Consider the following 17,231-nt stretch of genomic DNA (forward strand, 5'->3'; position numbering starts at 1 on the left):
TAACTCATCGGCAATCATTTATTAGTACCCCAAAATGCAACAGTTGTCTCAAAAGTAAGCCTTTTTGTAAAACTCTAATACATGGAGTGGGAAAAATAGCTACCCACTTCCTACATGTCTGCAGAGAAAGCTCTGGCTGACACTACTGATCTGAGCATGAGAACATGACTTAACAGTAAATTAATAAAAACGGAATGACTTACTTTTAAATCATTTTACTGTTTATACCACAGTCGCATTTAAATTGGCAGAATGGCTCCCATGACAGACAAGACAGGAACCTGTCATGCAAGGAAAAGTGCAGGTTTTCACAAAGTTTGAGAAGTACCATGGTAACAAGAATGGCTGCAGCAATCTCAGACAACAGCGCCAAGGTTTGCAAGTGGGTAGGAATGAAAGCTGCTCCACAGTAATTGGCCTGAGACCGCTAATGCTTCCTAAGAGGTATTTCCTAATATGCTTGGTAAGCAGATCACGTGTAACACAGATGTAAATGGAGTATGATAACGCTTCTGCAAAGTAAATTCTGTAAGTTCCTGGGCAGGTTTTACAGATCTCTTTCATCCATGATAAATGGTTGCTAAATTATGATTCTGCAAAAGTAATCCCATAAATAGACATCTAGGTAAATTTTACAACCAGTGAAATTCTTAGGCCAAAAAATAAATAGCCACACAAATCAAACCTACACACTGTGAATTAAAATGAAGCCAGTGTTAGGGTTTCTCAAAGAACCAGAACAGGAAAGATTATTCAAATAGAAGATCCTCGTCCTTCTCTTCAGCCAGAAGATTAGCAGGCTCCAACACCTCTCCAGCTGCTCTCCTTTGCTCCAAGTCCTTCTCAGATTTTTCCTTTAGAATCTTTTTCTTCTCTTGTATTTTCTTTAACCTGTAAAATACAGGTGGGGGTGGATTTTTTAAACACTGTTTCAATATTAAGTAGATTTGATTTCTTTGAGTTTTGTAACAAGGATAATAAACACATACCTAGAAAAAAACCTGGTACTTTTATTAATTTCATTTTCAGTAATTTATTTATAATCCTTTTTAAAAAACATAATTTTAAGCTAAAAATACATAATTTTAAGCTAATAACTGATTTAACCTGAGACAGAAGCCTTTTTTTTTTTTTTTTTTTGAGATGGAGTCTTGCTCTGTCGCCCAGGGTGGAGTGCAGTGGCGCACGCAATCTTGGCTCACTACAACCTCCACCTTTGCGTTCAAGCAATTCCTTGCCTCAGCCTCCCGAGTAGCTGGGAATACAGGCGCATGCTGCCACACCTGGCTAATTTTTTGTATTTTTAGTAGAGACGGAGGGTTTCACCATCTTGGCCAGGCTGGTCTTGAACTCCTGACCTTGTGATCCACCCGCCTTGGCCTCCCAAAGTGCTGGGATTACAGGCATGAGCCACCGAGCCCAGCCTAGAAGCCTTTATTAGGTTAAATTTTGAAATCCATTCTCGAATGGAACAGATTTTGAGCATTCAGGCATTTTTTTAAAATTTTGGCTCAACACAACCCTGAGTATCATGGAAGGACAGAAACTAACCTTTGATAATTAAGATTATAGACCATAGTTAGATGCTAACTCCAGGTCTAAGACCCCCCATGCCTTTCCTAAATACTCCTGCCCTCACCTACCTCCCATTTCTCTGAACCGAGTATACAGATCCCTGTACACTACCAGTTTAGTATTTATACCTGTTGACTCTAAATGTTCATAACCAATTCATGGACATGCATAATTTCTCTCCAAGTGCTGTGCTAATTCTCTAATGGCGTGATTTATATACTATTTGGTAATGCCTCCAGGTGCTTTATACCTTCTCCTGAACATGAAATACATATTTGTTGAATAACAGCTGAATTCTAGTTTCTTCTCTCAGTTTTTATGTAGGAGGCACCCAATCTAAATCATCATTTCATTTTAAAGAATAATCAAGGGCCAGGCACGGTGGCTCATGCGTGTAATCCCAGCACTTTGGCAGGCCAAGGCAGGTGGATTGCTTGAGGTCAGGAGTTTTGAGACCAGCCTGGCCAACATGGTGAAACACCATCTCTACTAAAAGTACAAAAAAATTATCCAGGCATGGTGACACATGAGCCAAGATCGAACCATTGCACTCCAGCCTGGGTGACAGAGCAAGACTCTGTCTCACAAAAAAAAAAAAAAAAAAAAGAATAATTCAGTCTTGGCTTGTCCAAAGGTAATGAGTTCTCTCTATTACGCACAATCAGTTACAGATCAAACTCCTTGTTCTACTCTTTCCCCACTTTTCACTACTGCATTTGACTATCTTAAAACATATATTTAAAAAAAAAATCAAACCTAAACAGTTTCTCTGAAAGGCCTAAGTTTTTGGAAATGCCATGTTATAGGTACATGTAAAATTTGACAGATTTGTTTCCACAACTTCTGGTAATAATATTTCTTGCTGCTTATTTATCAGAATAAAACATAAGCTGTGCTAATTCTAAAGAACATAAACCAACAAGTCATTCAGCAAATACAGCCTTTGGAATATGGAAAACAAAAGATGATCAATAACTGCCAATTTCAACAAACCTATAGAACTCTTCTCGCTCTCTCTCATCCAGCTCTGTGATGATATAAGCAAGAGTACGTTCAATCCGGGGAATGATGACTAGAATAAAAAAAAAAATAATATGTGTGAGAACTTCAAACCCCTTTTTTCAAATTATCAGTGCTCATTTGTATAACAGTTATTTTTTCCTAATTGTAAAATTAATGTGCATTTAATGCAGAGAACTTGGAAAATAAAAACACAAAGAAGCTCTTCCTCTCCCCCTCCCCCTCTCCCTCTCCCCACGGTCTCCCTCTGATGCCGAGCCGAAGCTGGACTGTACTGCTGCCATCTCAGCTCACTGCAACCTCCCTGCCTGATTCTCCTGCCTCAGCCTGCCGAGTGCCTGCGATTGCAGGCGCGTGCCGCCACGCCTGACTGGTTTTCGTATTTTTTTGGTGGAGACGGGGTTTCGCTGTGTTGGCCAGGCTGGTCTCCAGCTCCTAACTGCGAGTGATCCGCCAGCCTCGGCCTCCCGAGGTGCCGGGATTGCAGATGGAGTCTCGTTCACTCAGTGCTCAATGGTGCCCAGGCTGGAGTGCAGTGGCGTGATCTCGGCTCGCTACAACCTCCACCTCCCAGCCGCCTGCCTTGGCCTCCCAAAGTGCCGAGATTGCAGCCTCTGCCCAGCCGCCACCCGGTCTGGGAAGTGAGGAGCCTCTCTGCCTGGCCGCCCATCGTCTGGGATGTGAGGAGCCCCTCTGCCTGGCTGCCCAGTCTGGAAAGTGAGGAGCGTCTGTGACTGGCCGCCATCCCATCTAGGAAGTGAGGAGCGTCTCTGCCCGGCCGCCCATCGTCTGAGATGTGGGGAGCGCCTCTGCCCCACCGCCCCTTCTGGGAGGTGAGGAGCGTCTCTGCCCGGCCACCCCGTCTGAGAAGTGAGGAGACCCTCCACCCGGCAGCCGCCCCATCTGAGAAGTGAGGAGCCCCTCCGCCCGGCAGCCGCCCCGTCTGGGAAGTGAGGAGCGTCTCCGCCCAGCAGCCACCCCGTCCAGGAGGGAGGTTGGGGGGTCAGCCCCCGGCCCGGCCAGCCGCCCCGTCCGGGAGGGAGGTGGGGGGGGTCAGCCCCCCGCCTGGCCAGCCGCCCCGTCCGGGAGGGAGGTGGGGGGGTCAGCCCCCGCCAGGCCAGCCACCCTGTCCGGGAGGTGAGGGGCGCCTCTGCCCGGCCACCCCTACTGGGAAGTGAGGAGCCCCTCTGCCCGGCCACCACCCCGTCTGGGAGGTGTACCCAACAGCTCACTGAGAACAGGCCATGATGACAATGGCGGTTTTGTGGAATAGAAAAGGGGGAAAGGTGGGGAAAAGATAGAGAAATCGGATGGTTGCTGTGTCTGTGTAGAAAGAAGTAGACATGGGAGACTTTTCATTTTGTTCTGTACTAAGAAAAATTCTTCTGCTTTGGGATCCTGTTGATCTATGACCTTACCCCCAACCCTGTGCTCTCTGAAACATGTGCTGTGTCCACTCAGGGTTAAATGGATTAAGGGCGGTGCAAGATGTGCTTTGTTAAACAGATGCTTGAAGGCAGCATGCTCGTTAAGAGTCATCACCACTCCCTAATCTCAAGTACCCACGGACACAAACACTGCGGAAGTCTGCAGGGTCCTCTGCCTAGGAAAACCAGAGACCTTTGTTCACTTGTTTATCTGCTGACCTTCCCTCCACTATTGTCCTATGACCTGCCAAATCCCCCTCTGTGAGAAACACCCAAGAATGATCAATAAAATAAATAAATAAATAAATAAATAAATAAATAAAATAAAATAAAAAAAAACACAAAGAAAAAAAGTAAAATAGAGTATAATCCAACCATCCAAAAGAGTAACTACTGTAAACATGGTGGTGTATACCCTTCTAGTGTCTTTTCTATGCATAGATAACCTATTGGACCATAACAAATACAACACTGAATGTGCTGAATTCTATGAATATATAACATTGAAGCACAGATGTTATTTTAAATATAGTAGCAATCAACTGTTAAAAAATCGAGCAGAGAGAATGCTCGATTGAGTTTACGTCATTAGGCTCGACTTTACATAGTTTACCTGTTCAGCTTCTAGAATGTGAACTCTGAGGGTAAGAACTACGAATTATCCTTTTTTTTTTTTTTTTCTTTGCTTCCACTTTCATGTACAAGGCCTGGCACTAGCAAGCAGTCAAAAAGGTTTTTTAAAAAATGAGGTAACTTTCTCACTAACATTAATATAGTTAATATATAGTTAATATAACAGTTAATATATTTCTAACAATATAGTTAATATATCATATTATACATAGTTAATATAATAGTTAATATATTTCTCACTAGCATTAATATAGAAATTCCCAAGCAAAGGAATTTCTTTACTTCAAATTTTGCTTTCTTACCTAAAATTGAGTGTTTCTTTAATAAAAACTAAGTTTATTGAGCAAAAAGTACCATCAACACTAAGCAGTCATATTTTTTAAATAGTGAAATAAAAGAGATGGAAAATAAGTGCATCAAATGGGAAATTTTTTAGAAATCAAGGAGAATGGCTTATACTGATTTAAAGTTAAATATTTAATGTACTCAAAAAGTTGCATCACTCAACCATTAGAAAGAACTACAGAAAACACTAAGGATCTTGAGAAATATTCCTACCCTTAAATAACTGCATGAATAACTGGAAATGAAGAAAACATTCCATAATTTTTAAGTCACCACTTTCCTATGTGTGTAACTCCCCCAGATCATACAAGTACTTCTATCAGAACACTTCATAACACTTTTTTTTTTTACTATGGACACACTTCTCTCTTTGCACTGTGGGCAAGGGAAGCATCTTATTCATCTTTCAGTCTTCAGTACAGTCCCTGAATTCTAGCAGTTTCACGACAAGTGGAGGGTATGGACAAGTGACAAAGCACCTCACAGTACCTAATACTCACCATGTTCAATGGCATTTACACGCCTGTTGGTTATCTTAATAGCTTCATCCAAAGTAACAAAAGAAGTCTAAAATAAGAACAAATTAATAATGTAAGCACAAAGTCTTCCTAATCATTCCCTGATCACTTGACTCCACTAAGACTGCACTTGTAGAAAACATTTGAGAACCAAGACAACTTCTTTTTGGCATGCTTAAAAAACAAAATTCTTAGGCTGGGCGCATGGCTCACGCCTATAACCCCAATACTTTGGGAGGCTGAGGTGGGAGAATCACTTGAAGTTGGGAGTTCAAGACCAGCCTGGGCAACACAATGAGACCTTGCCTCTACAAGAAATAAATTTTAAAAATTAGCTGGGTGTAGTAGCATGCACCTGTAGTCCCAGCTGCTTGGTAATCTGTGATGGGAGGATCGTTTGAGGCTGCAGTGAGCTATTACTGTGCCACTGTACTCCAGCTTGGGTGACAGAGTAAGACCCTGTCTCTTCATAACAAAACAAAAACAAAATTCTTGTGAGATTTCCATAGGGCTAACACTATTTCCATGCTATTGATAACCTACATGTCACATTTGGTAGGTTTCCAAATTAACCTGCCTGGGCAGATTGAGGGATCTTATGATTCATGGTTTACATCCTGTCCCTGAGTAAGGAAATCTTAAGTTTCTCAGACTGCTGACATACTGATTAATATGCAACCTACTGACGCTGAAAATGACACTGATTTGTTTCTGATTCATGAAGTTTTACTTCATGATTTACTTGCATGTAGAACATTTTAGCTTGTATTTGTAATCTGTAGCCAATGATTGTGACCTCTGTATTGTACTCGCCAATGAAAAGGACAACTTGGGTATGAGGAGTCCTCCCTTCTCCTAAACTTTCCCATAAAAGCCTTCCAACTTGTAGCAGACTCTAGAACACACCCAACTTTGTTGGTGTCTTCCCGGGTCAATCCTCACATTTGGCTTTCAATAAACCTTTATCAAATCATTTCTGCTTCAACAGGCTTTACTTGAGTTGACACTATTATAATTTGTTTACTATAGTCTCACCTAAATAACAACATAAAAATGACAAGAAAGAATCAAGCATTAATAACCTAGATATATACTAACTGGCCACATAGGGGAAAAAATGGTCTTCCATGCACAAACGATGTTTATTTACATTTACATTTAAATCTAGTATCAACTTGCTATTCTTACTTAGCAAAGAGTGAAACTGGGCTGGGTGAGGTGGCTCACACTTATAATTCCAGCACTTTGGGAGGCTGAGATGGCAGGATTTCTTGAGGCCAGGAGTTTGAGACCAGCCTGGGCAACGTAGCAAGACCTCATCTCAACTAAAAAATTCAAAAATATTATCCAGGCGAGGTGGCACAAACTTGTAGTCCAAGCTACTTGGGAGGCTGAGGCGGGAGACTGCTTGAGCCCAGGAGATCCAGGCTGCAGTTAGCCAAGATCGCAACACTGCACTCCAGCCTGGGCAACAGAGCAAGATTCTGTCTCAAAGAAAAAAACAAACAAACAAACAAAAAAAACAAGAGTGTACCATAGCACATACATTTTGTTAACAAGAAGAAGCAGGGGCCGGGTGTGGTGGCTCATACCTATAATCCCAGCACTTTGGAAGGATGAGGCGGGCTGATTACTTGAGCCCAGGAGTTCGAGACCAGCCTGGACGACATGGTGAAACCCCACCTCTACAAAAAATACAAAAATTAGCTAGGTGTGATGGGGCATGCCTATAGTCCCAGCTACTCAGGAGGCTGAGGTGGGCGGATCACTTAAGCCCAGGAGGTTAAGGTTGCAGTGAGCTGGGATTATGCCACTGCACTCCAGCCTGGGTGACACAGTGAGACCCCATTTCGAAAAATAAATAAATTTTTAAATTAAAAGTAGGGGCCAGGTGCAGTGGCTCATGCCTGTAATCCTAGCACTTTGGGAGGCCGAGGCGGGTGGATCACCTGAAGTCAGGAGTTCGAGACCAGCCTGACAAACATGGCAAAACCCTGTCTCTACAAAAAATACAAAAGTTAGCCAGGCATGGTGGCACATGTCTGTAATCAGCTACTTGGGAGGCTGAGGCAGAAGAATCACTTGAACCCAGGAGGCAGAGGTTGCAGTGAGCCGAGGTCGCGCCATTGCACTCCAGCCTGGGCAACAAGAGTAAAACTCCATCTCAAAAAAATAAAAAATACATAAATTTTAAAAAGTAGGGACAATGGTACAAAAGCCATCACTTCAGAAATCAAAATATTATGTTTGCTTTACATAGGATCATGGGAACAGTTAAAAGTACAAAGCACAGTATATGCTGACTCAAGACCTGACTCTCCTCCACTTGACTGTTACAAATCAAACTACAGGAGTTCTCCAGGTCTTTTGCTACTTACCTGCAGAGAAGCTAGTTCCACCAGTAGTTCCACTGCTTTGGCATAATTCCTCTTTAATTTAGCCAACTGTTCCCCACCTCTGGCTAAACCAGTCAGTTCATAACCTGAAAGGACCAGTCAGACAACATTTTTAATTAGAGTAAAATATCTTCCCTATAAAATTCCCCAAAAGGAGATAATTCAGAATAATAACAAATATGGAAAGATGAATTCACTAATCTTCATTGAATGTAAACATGAAGTGCCTATCTCACTCCCCAAACACTATAGGAGCATGCTACTAAATACAGTTTCCCACAAGAATACTATTCTAAATATAACTACAAAGGAAGCTTTTAACCAACCTTCACTTCACTAGCTTGATGCCCCTTATTCCCTTTGAAAATCATACTGCCTGATGCCCAGAGTACGATGACACTCTGTGAACAGGTGACTCTCTCTAGAATGCTCTACTTCTTCGTATGAAATGTACTTAATATTCTATATGATTTAATTAAATATCACATGAAGCAAGGAAATACAAGTGCCAAAAGAAAGAATATTATTTGTTTATTTATTTATTGAGATGGGGTCTCACTCTGCCACCCAGGCTGGAGTGCAGTGGTGCGATCTCAGCTCACTGTAAGCTCCACTTCTCAGGCTCAAGCAATCCTCCCACCTCGGCCTCCCGAGTAGCTGGGACCACAGGCGCATGCCACCAGGCCCAGCTAATTTTTGTAACTTTTTGGGTGGAGACGGGGTTTCACCATGTTGCCCAGGCTGGTCTCAAACTCCTGGGCTAAGGTGATCCACCTGCCTCAGCCTCCCAAAGTGCTGGGATTGCAGGTGTGAGCCACTGTGCCTGGCCAAGAATATTGTTTCTATGAAAAAAGTTAATACTTTACTTTGGAAAGAAAATATGCTGTCAAACTAGGAATGGAATGAATAAGACAGTTATTTAAAAAGTGGAAGTGGGCTATAAAAATCTAGAAAGAATCAGCATTCAGGTTGCATCAGTGTCTAAGATCTTATTTGACTTTAAAGAGACCCAAACTGGGAATTATAAGCAGTGCATTGTGGGTGTAGGATATGCAGAAAAACAACACAGAAGTCTAATCAGTGAATTCATATTCAAAAGGCCTTATATTTTTTAAATAGCAAGTGATTCTACATTGATATATTTCTGATAAAATATTGAAATATTTTAAGATATGTATAATGTTTTATGACTTCCTAGCATAAGACCTTTTTCTTTTTTGAGACAAGGTTTTGCTCTGTAGCCCAGGCTGGAGTGCAGTGGCGTGATCAGAACTCGCTGCAACTACCTCCCCAGCTCAAGCAATCCTCCCTCCTCAGCCCTGGAAGTAGCTGAAACTACAGGCACGTGCCACCACACCTGGCTGATTTTTTATATTTTTTGTAGAGATGGAGATTTGCCTGCCTCAGCCTCCCAAAGTGCCAGTATTACAGGCATGAGCCATTGTGCCCGGCCTTAAGACCTTTTGATTAACTGATCAACTATTGTCCTGACTATATCAAATAAGAGGATTTCTAACTCAGGAACCTCTCAACATCTAGCACCATTTTCCAGAACTTAGTTCATTTAAAGAGGAAACAGGAAATCCCAGAGACACAAAGTAATACAAAAAGTTTCACACTTACTGTCAGTTCCTTCATGGTAATGTTCAAATACTGGCAAAGTAACACCTGTTAAACACAGAAGCATACATGGATTCATAAACCTTTAAGTTCTCTCTTTTTTTTTTTTTTCTGAGACGGAGTTTTGCTCTTGTCGCCGAGGCTGGAATGCAATGGCGTGATCTCGCCTCACCGCAACCTCTGCCTCCCAGGTTCAAGCAATTCTCCTGGTCAGCCTCCTGAATAGGTGGGATTACAGGCATGCACCACCACACCCGGCTAATTTTGTATTTTTAGTAGACACGGGGTTTCTCCATGTTGGTAAGGTTGGTCTTGAACTTCCGACCTCAGGTGATCCACCCGCCTAAACCTCCCAAAGTGCTGGGATTACAGGTATGAGCCACCGCGCCTGGCCTAAATTCTGTTTCTTAATCACTGTTTTCTGTGTTTCTTTTTCATCAAACTCAAAAATCAAGAGCTTAAGTATGGAATTGTAATTGGTTTCAATTAATGAATTTAGGAACTTGCCTTCTTTTTTTTTTTTTGAGACAGAGTCTCACTCTGTCGCCCAGGCTGCAGTGCAGTGGTGTGGTCTTCAGCTCACTGCAACCACCGCCTCCTGGGGTCAAGTGATTCTCCCACCTCAGCCTCCTGAGTAGCTGGGACAACAGGCACATGCCATGCCCAGCTAATTTTTTTTTTTTTTTAAAGATGAGTTTCGCTCTTGTTGCCTGGGCTGGAGTACAATGGCGCAATCTCGGCTCACCACAACCTCTGCCTCCTGGGTCCAAGTGAGTCTCCTGCCTCAGCCTCTCAAGTAGCTGGGATTACAGGCATGCGCTACCACGTCTGGCTTATTTTGTATTTTTAGTAGAGACAGGATTTCTCCATATTAGGCTGGTCTCGAACTCCCGACCTCAGGCGATCCGCCCACCTTGGCTTCCCAAAGCACTGGGATTACAGGTGTGAGCCATCACACCCGGCCTAATTTTTGTATTCTTTGGTAAAGATGGGGTTTCACCATGTTGGCCAGGCTGGTCTCGAACTCCTGACCTTGTGATCCGCCCACCTCAGCCTCCCAAAGTGCTGGGATTACAGGTGTGAGCCACCACATCCAGTGGAACCTGACTTCTTTATTTTTTTATTTTTTATTTTTAGACAGAGTCTTGCTCTGTCACCCAGGCTGGAGTGCAGTGGTGCAATCTCGGCTCACTGGAACCTCCGCTTCCCGGGTTCAAGCGATTCTCCTGCCTCAGCCTCCCAAGTAGCTGGGGCTACAGGCGCGTGCCACCAAACCTGGCTAATTTTTGTATTATTAGTAGAGATGGGGTTTCACCATGTTGGCCAGGCTGGTCTCGAACTCCTGACCTTGTGATTCGCCCACCTCGGCCTCCCAAAGTGCTGGGATTACAGGCATGAGCCACCGTGCCCAGCCGGAACCTGCCTTCTTAAGTGTTCACTTCTATACAAAAGTCAAGTTATCCTGAGTAATTAGAAACCTGGTTGTTAATGATTTTAACATGTAAAGCCAATCAACTTGTTCTAAGTAGAAGGAAGAAACTAGGACATTAAGATCTTGCTGTATAAACAGGTTAATTTTAAAATGTCACCTCTTTTCTCCCCAAAGGGTTTCTAAAAGGTTGAAACGTTACCTGCTACATTATCTTTCTTCGCTCGAATCTTCACTTGCGCTTTATTGACATTTTGGATAACTGTAGTGCTGCAGAAAAAGAGAAAGACTTTATTTAGCAGACTCTTCAGAAATAAACCTACAGGGACCCACTGGATAGTTTTAACATTAAATGAGACCAAGAGTGAGATGTCACAATTAAGTATGTTTTGATAACTGTCCTTTTTCCAAAAAGGGAGAAAAGTCATTACTGCTAGAGGAGGGCCTCTGAAAGCAGAGAATGAACAATATTCAAAACATTAGCAGTAAGAAAAGAACAAAGAATGATTTTAAAGTTCGTGGATTGCTTATGTTTTCAGTCAGAGGTGTGCTACATGGATATAACTTTAAGGATTCTTCTGCTAGTGTGAGATAGAGAAAACTCCTTTCTAGGTTTGCTATTGAATTGGTTAAGCTGGCGTTCAATTCCTTTACCCTGGAAACTATGTTCCATCTGGCTTTGTGTGACTTCTCAAATGTTACCAGAAAGTGCCTTCCTGGCAGGGTGCGATAGCTCACGCCTGTAATCCTGGCACTTTGGGAGGCCGAGGCAGGAGGATTGTTTGAGGCCAGGAGTTCAAAACCAGCCTGGGCAATGTGGTGAAACTCAAAAATACAAAAATTAGCCAGTCTCATAACCCAATCTCAAAACAAAACAAAAATAAATATTATAGAAAGTATCTTCCCCATAACCACCCTAAAACACTCACATACCACTTATACACTATTGATTGATCTCCACCCTCTGCTAGAAAATTCAATGCAAGCTGTGATCTTACCAGCACTGGCAAAAATGAAAGCCTACCACTTCAAAGGGCCTTATTAAGGCCCAAGAGCAGTGAAAGCTCCTAGATAATAGGCATCATGTCATTAGGAAAATAATAAAATCAGAAACCTTGAAAACAACTTCTGCCTCTGCCCCTAATTAGCCAAGTGACCTCAGGAAGGCATTTAATTAAAACTGAGAATAACAATGCTTGCCTTACCTATCTCATAGTGTTATTTGGAGAATTACATAACATATGTAAATTGGCATAACACATTTGCAAGCTATTTTGTATGCTTTGTAAAGGATTTACTGATGTCACCAAAGCCATGAAGTTCATGCCTTTTAAATAATCCAATTCTCAAAAATTTATCCTACGGGAATAATTCAGTAGAAACAAAAATACATATGTGTAAAAATGTTCACTGCACTTTCCCTAATATTCCAAAAAACTGAGAATTAACCCAAATACCCAGCATTAGGAGAAAAAAAAAATACATCTTGAGAAAGATCATACAGCCATGTTGAAAATAAGGAAAAATGTTTATGATACAACGTTAAATGAAAATGGACTCTAAAATACTAAGTATCCTGCGCCTGCAACTATGTAAGAATTACATGTGGAAGATGACAGTGGAGTTAAGGTGATGGGGTTAAAAGAATTCTTTCTTATTATTACTATATCATTTGTCCTTAACGCTTATTTCTAAATTAAAAAATGCTTTTTAAATGAAATTATGAGACTGAAATCACTTTGTTTTGCTTCAAAACACCCCGTTTAGTCCCCTTACCTGAAGTCACCTGCTGTGAACTTGGCTTCAGCTAGTGAAAAGGCAGCTTCTCTCATCACTTCGCCCATCAACATTTTAGTCTGGAAAAGCATAAACCAACAGCAGATTCAACCAAGCCTTTTACAAGGAAATATTCCATCATAATTATGTTCCTTTAATAACCATCAGTATTTTATGCTGGCTGTGCATGTAAATATTGGTTTGATAACGACAAACAGAAATTTCCAATTTTTAACAGTTTTGGTTATGATCACTAACAATATTACAAACTATGAGTTTTATAATTAAAACAGAATAAATGCATTGAGAAACAGAAAACTGAATCTTTACTGAAGGACCTATATTATTCCTGAATGGGTACATGCTGATTTACTCAAACTAATCTCTTAAATTCACTGCAGTTGCAGTCAAAACCCTAATGGTGTATTAATTTTAAAGTACATCTGGAATATTTAATGTTTGAGAATATTCAATAATGTTTCAGAAAGAGAAGAAAAACTGGGTCAGCTGGGTAGGGAGTTGCCTTCCCAAGTATTAAAAAGGTACAGCTACAATAAGGAAATATTAATATATCTGGTTTGGGACAGTTAAGTCAATGAAATAGACTAGAGGATTCAGAAACAACCCCAGGTCTATATGGAAATTTAGTAAAGAGACCACTCTACTGTCTATACAGTACAAAATGATAAAGCTACCTACCTCACATCATACTGCCCCCAAAATTCAGACATAATTAAGATAAAGGTTTAAAGAAAAAAAACTGTAAAGCAACAAAAGAAAATGTGGCATAATATTTTCTTAATCATTTTAGGTCTTTTCTAAGCCTTATATGTAACTCAGAAGCTATATAAAGAAAAAGACCAACAGATTTGACCAAAGGAAAAACATTTTTAACTTTTTATTATTTTTATTTTTTGAGACAAGGTCTTACTTTGTTGCCTGGGCTAGAGTACAGTGGTGTAATCATAGCTCACTGCAGCTTCAAACTCATAGGCTCAGGCAATCCTCCTGCCTCAGGCTCCCAAGTAGCTGGGACTACAGGTGCATGCCACCACACTCTGCTAATTTTCTTCTTCTTCTTCTTCTTTTTTGTAGAGACAAGGTCTCACTGTGTTGCCCAGGCTGGTCTCAAATTCCTGGGCTCAAACCATCCTCCCACCTCGGCCTCCCAAAGTGTTGGGATTACAGGCATGAGTCACCACACCTAGTATTAACTTTTTTTTTTAAGTTAAAAGAAAAGGCGTGGAAAAAATATTTTTAACATTTTACACATTAGGCAGAATACACATAGAACCTCTACCAAAAAAAAAAAGAAGACATTTACCAAGAAAATCAAATTGTCAATAAGCATGAAAAGCTCCTTAACTTCACAAATAATCAAAAGTAGTACAGGGCCAGGCACAGTGGCTAACACCTGTAATCCCAGTGCTTTGGAAGGATGAGGTGGAATGATCACTTGAGCCCAGGTGGTTGAGACCACCCTGGGTAATAAAGCAAGACCCCATCTCCACAAAAAATAAAAAAATAAAAATAAAAACAGCACTCATAGAAAATGCTTTTGTTAAGTACGTACAGGTTTAAAAATAAAACACAAAAACTGTAAACTCAGCACTTTCGGAGGCCAAGATAGAAAGACTGTTTGAGCCCGGGAGTCAAAAAGACTAGCCTGGGCAACATAGTGAGACCTCGTCTCTACTAAAAATAAAAAAAATGAGCTGAGAATGGTAGCATGCACCTGTAGTCACAGCTACTCGAGAGGCTGAGGTGGGAGGATCACTGGAGCCCAGTTTGAGGCTGCAGAGTAAGACCTTGCCTCAAAAAAAAAAAAAAAAGAAAAAGACTAGAAATAAAATGTCATACCATGCGGTAGTACATGCTACAATAAAATTAAAATAAGGAATTGTGAGAGAAGCAAACATGGTGTTCACTTTAGATTGGGTGATCAGGAACAGCCTCTCTTAAGAGACTAGAACAGCTAAAGGAGCCAGTTATAAGTTCTGGGGAAAGAGTATTTCAGGCAGGAGAAAGAGCTAATGAAAAGTACCTGGAGGACCTTAGGAAGAATGCTCTAAATAAGGTAAGAGAGGCAGGCGGGGGGCCAATCAGATCAAGTGGAGCTTTGCAGGCAAGATTAAAGAGTTTGGATTTTATTAAATGAACTATTTGATATTTGACACTTGTTAAACTTATAATGGTATTTTTACTTTTGAAAGAAAAAAATTAATTAAAATAACAACAACAAAAAAAAAAATGCCAAGGGCCATGCTGGATTTTTCTAAAATAAATACTATTCTAAGAAAAGTTCATTCTACCTCTATTATCTTCTTTAGGATCTGTCGAAATCGAAGAGTTAAGGCATCAGATTTTTTCTTCAGGAGGTTTCGACCTGTCTGTGCTCCCTTTAAACGAGCCTTCATGATGGTCTGTGCCCTATATAAACATAAACAAAGTTAAGACATCTATTCTCATTGTTTAAAAGACAAAAAAAACCCTCCCCACCAGTGTTAAAATTATCCTTTATCCTTTGATGTGATGAAAGTGAGACTATATAGAGAATTTGTAGCTGACAGGTTTAACTGATGCTATGGTTTGAATATGTCCCTAATCTTCATGTGTTGGAAACAATCTCCAATGCAACAATGTTGGGAGGTGGGACCATCAAGAGATGACTGGGTCATCTGGGATCTGCCCTCCATGAATGGATTAACGTCATTATGGTAAGACTGGGTTCCTTATTGCAGGAGTGGGTTGGTTTTAAATGTGAGTTCATCTGGGTACACCTGTAATCCCAGCTACAGGTGTAAGTGGGAGGATCCCTTGAGCCTGGGAGTTCAAGTCCAGCATGGGTAAGATAGTAGCAAGACTCCTTTTGTTGTTGTTGTTGTTGTTGTTTTTGAGATGGAGTCTCACTGTGAGGCCCAGGCTGGAGTGCAATGGCGCGATCTCGACTCATTGCAACCTCCACCTCCCAGGTTCAAGCAATTCTCCCACCCCAGCCTCCCAAGTAGCTAGAACTACAGGCGTATGCCACCAAGCCCAGCTATATTTTTTTGTATTTTTAGTAGAGACAGGGTTTCACCATACTGACCAGGCTCATCTCGAACTCTTGACTTTAAGTGATCTGCCTGCTTCAGCCTCCCAAAGTACTGGGATTACAGGGATGAGCCACCATGCCCGGCCCGACTCCTTATTTTTTGAGATGGGGTCTTGCTCTGTCACCCAGGCTGGATTGCAGTGGTATGATCATAGCTTGCTGCAGCCTCTAACTCCTGGTCTCATGAAATCCTCCAGCCTCAGCTTCCCAAAGTGCTGGGATTATGGGCATGAACCACTGCACCTGACCCTGTCCCTTTAGAAAAAAAAAAAAAGGCATGTTCGACCCTTTCTTGCTTTCTCTCTCACCCTCGCCTTCTGCCATGGGATAACACAGCAAGAAGGCCCTCACCCTTCTCAGCCTCCAGAACCATGAACCAAATAAATTTTTTTCTTTATAAATTACCCAGTCTCAAGTATTGTTATAGCAGCAGAAAATGGACTAAGACAACTGGTTTTCCAATAATGTAGATTTCTACCATCAGTGTTCCATAAATGAAAAGTTTATTAATTTACAACAGAAACAATTTTATAATCAATATCTGGAATATTTATTAAATCATCATAAATGTTATCAGGAGCCTTATTTTATGATGCCAACATAGTTTAAATACTTATTTGATTTGTAAGTTAAAATAATATCTTTGTTTTAGTTTCCACTGGAGGTATATTAAGGATTTAAAAATCTATCCACTAATATATATCAAAATTTTAAATGCAATTATTTTCAAGACCAACAATTCCACTTTGCGGAATTTATCCTACAAATTTATTCCCACATGTGTACAAAAACACGTGCAAGGTTTAAAAGATGGGTACTCCAGCCTTATGGTAATAGCAAAAGGGAGAAACAAGCTAAATGCTAAATACATCAGAGTTCACCTATGATGGAATGATATACAGTCATTAAAAAAGACGAAGGTATATAGGCATGTGCTGTCTATATAACAGTCTTATTTATGCAAAGTAAGGAAAAAATGTGCTTATATAGATGCAGAGAATAGTTCTAGAAAGGATTCACAAAAACTGGCAAGAGTTACCTTTGATAAATGGGACTGGATGAAAAATATGGATTTACTTTTTACTACTATATTCTTTTGTACCTTTTGCATTTTATTTTATTTTTTGAGGTGAAGTTTCACTCTTGTTGCCCAGGCTAGAGTGCAATGGCGCGATCTCGGCTCACTGCAACCTCTGCCTCCCAGGTTCAAGCGATTCTCCTGCCTCAGCATCCCGAGTAGCTGGGATTACAGGCATGCGTCACCATGCCTGGCTAATTTTTTATTTTTAGTAGAGACAGGTTTCTCCATGTTGGTCAGGCTGGTCTCGAACTCCTGACCTCAGGTGATCCGCCCACCTCGGCCTCACAAAGTGCTAGGATTACAGGCATGAGCCACCG

The 17,231-nt window shown here is 41.1% G+C and overlaps 2 protein-coding genes across 2 annotated transcripts in view; one reads left to right on the top strand and one right to left on the bottom strand.

Annotated features, from left to right (window-relative positions):
- GPHN (gephyrin) overlaps positions 1–17,231 on the top strand; it is a 1,227,209-nt gene that overhangs the window by 829,725 nt on the left and 380,253 nt on the right. The window lies entirely within an intron of this gene.
- The window catches only part of ATP6V1D (ATPase H+ transporting V1 subunit D), a 21,933-nt gene continuing 4,702 nt past the window's right edge, over positions 1–17,231 (bottom strand). Inside the window, exons 2-9 of the mRNA NM_015994.4 lie at positions 15,052–15,169; positions 12,740–12,819; positions 11,166–11,233; positions 9,538–9,582; positions 7,897–8,000; positions 5,501–5,567; positions 2,569–2,647; positions 1–891 (exon numbers count right to left, since the gene is read on the bottom strand). Coding sequence (NP_057078.1) covers positions 750–891; positions 2,569–2,647; positions 5,501–5,567; positions 7,897–8,000; positions 9,538–9,582; positions 11,166–11,233; positions 12,740–12,819; positions 15,052–15,169 — 703 coding nt within the window. The 3' untranslated portion in view covers positions 1–749. The remainder of the gene's footprint in view (positions 892–2,568; positions 2,648–5,500; positions 5,568–7,896; positions 8,001–9,537; positions 9,583–11,165; positions 11,234–12,739; positions 12,820–15,051; positions 15,170–17,231) is intronic.

Source organism: Homo sapiens, chromosome 14 (genome assembly GCF_000001405.40).
Source record: "Homo sapiens chromosome 14, GRCh38.p14 Primary Assembly".
Classification (NCBI taxonomy): Eukaryota; Metazoa; Chordata; class Mammalia; order Primates; family Hominidae; genus Homo; species Homo sapiens.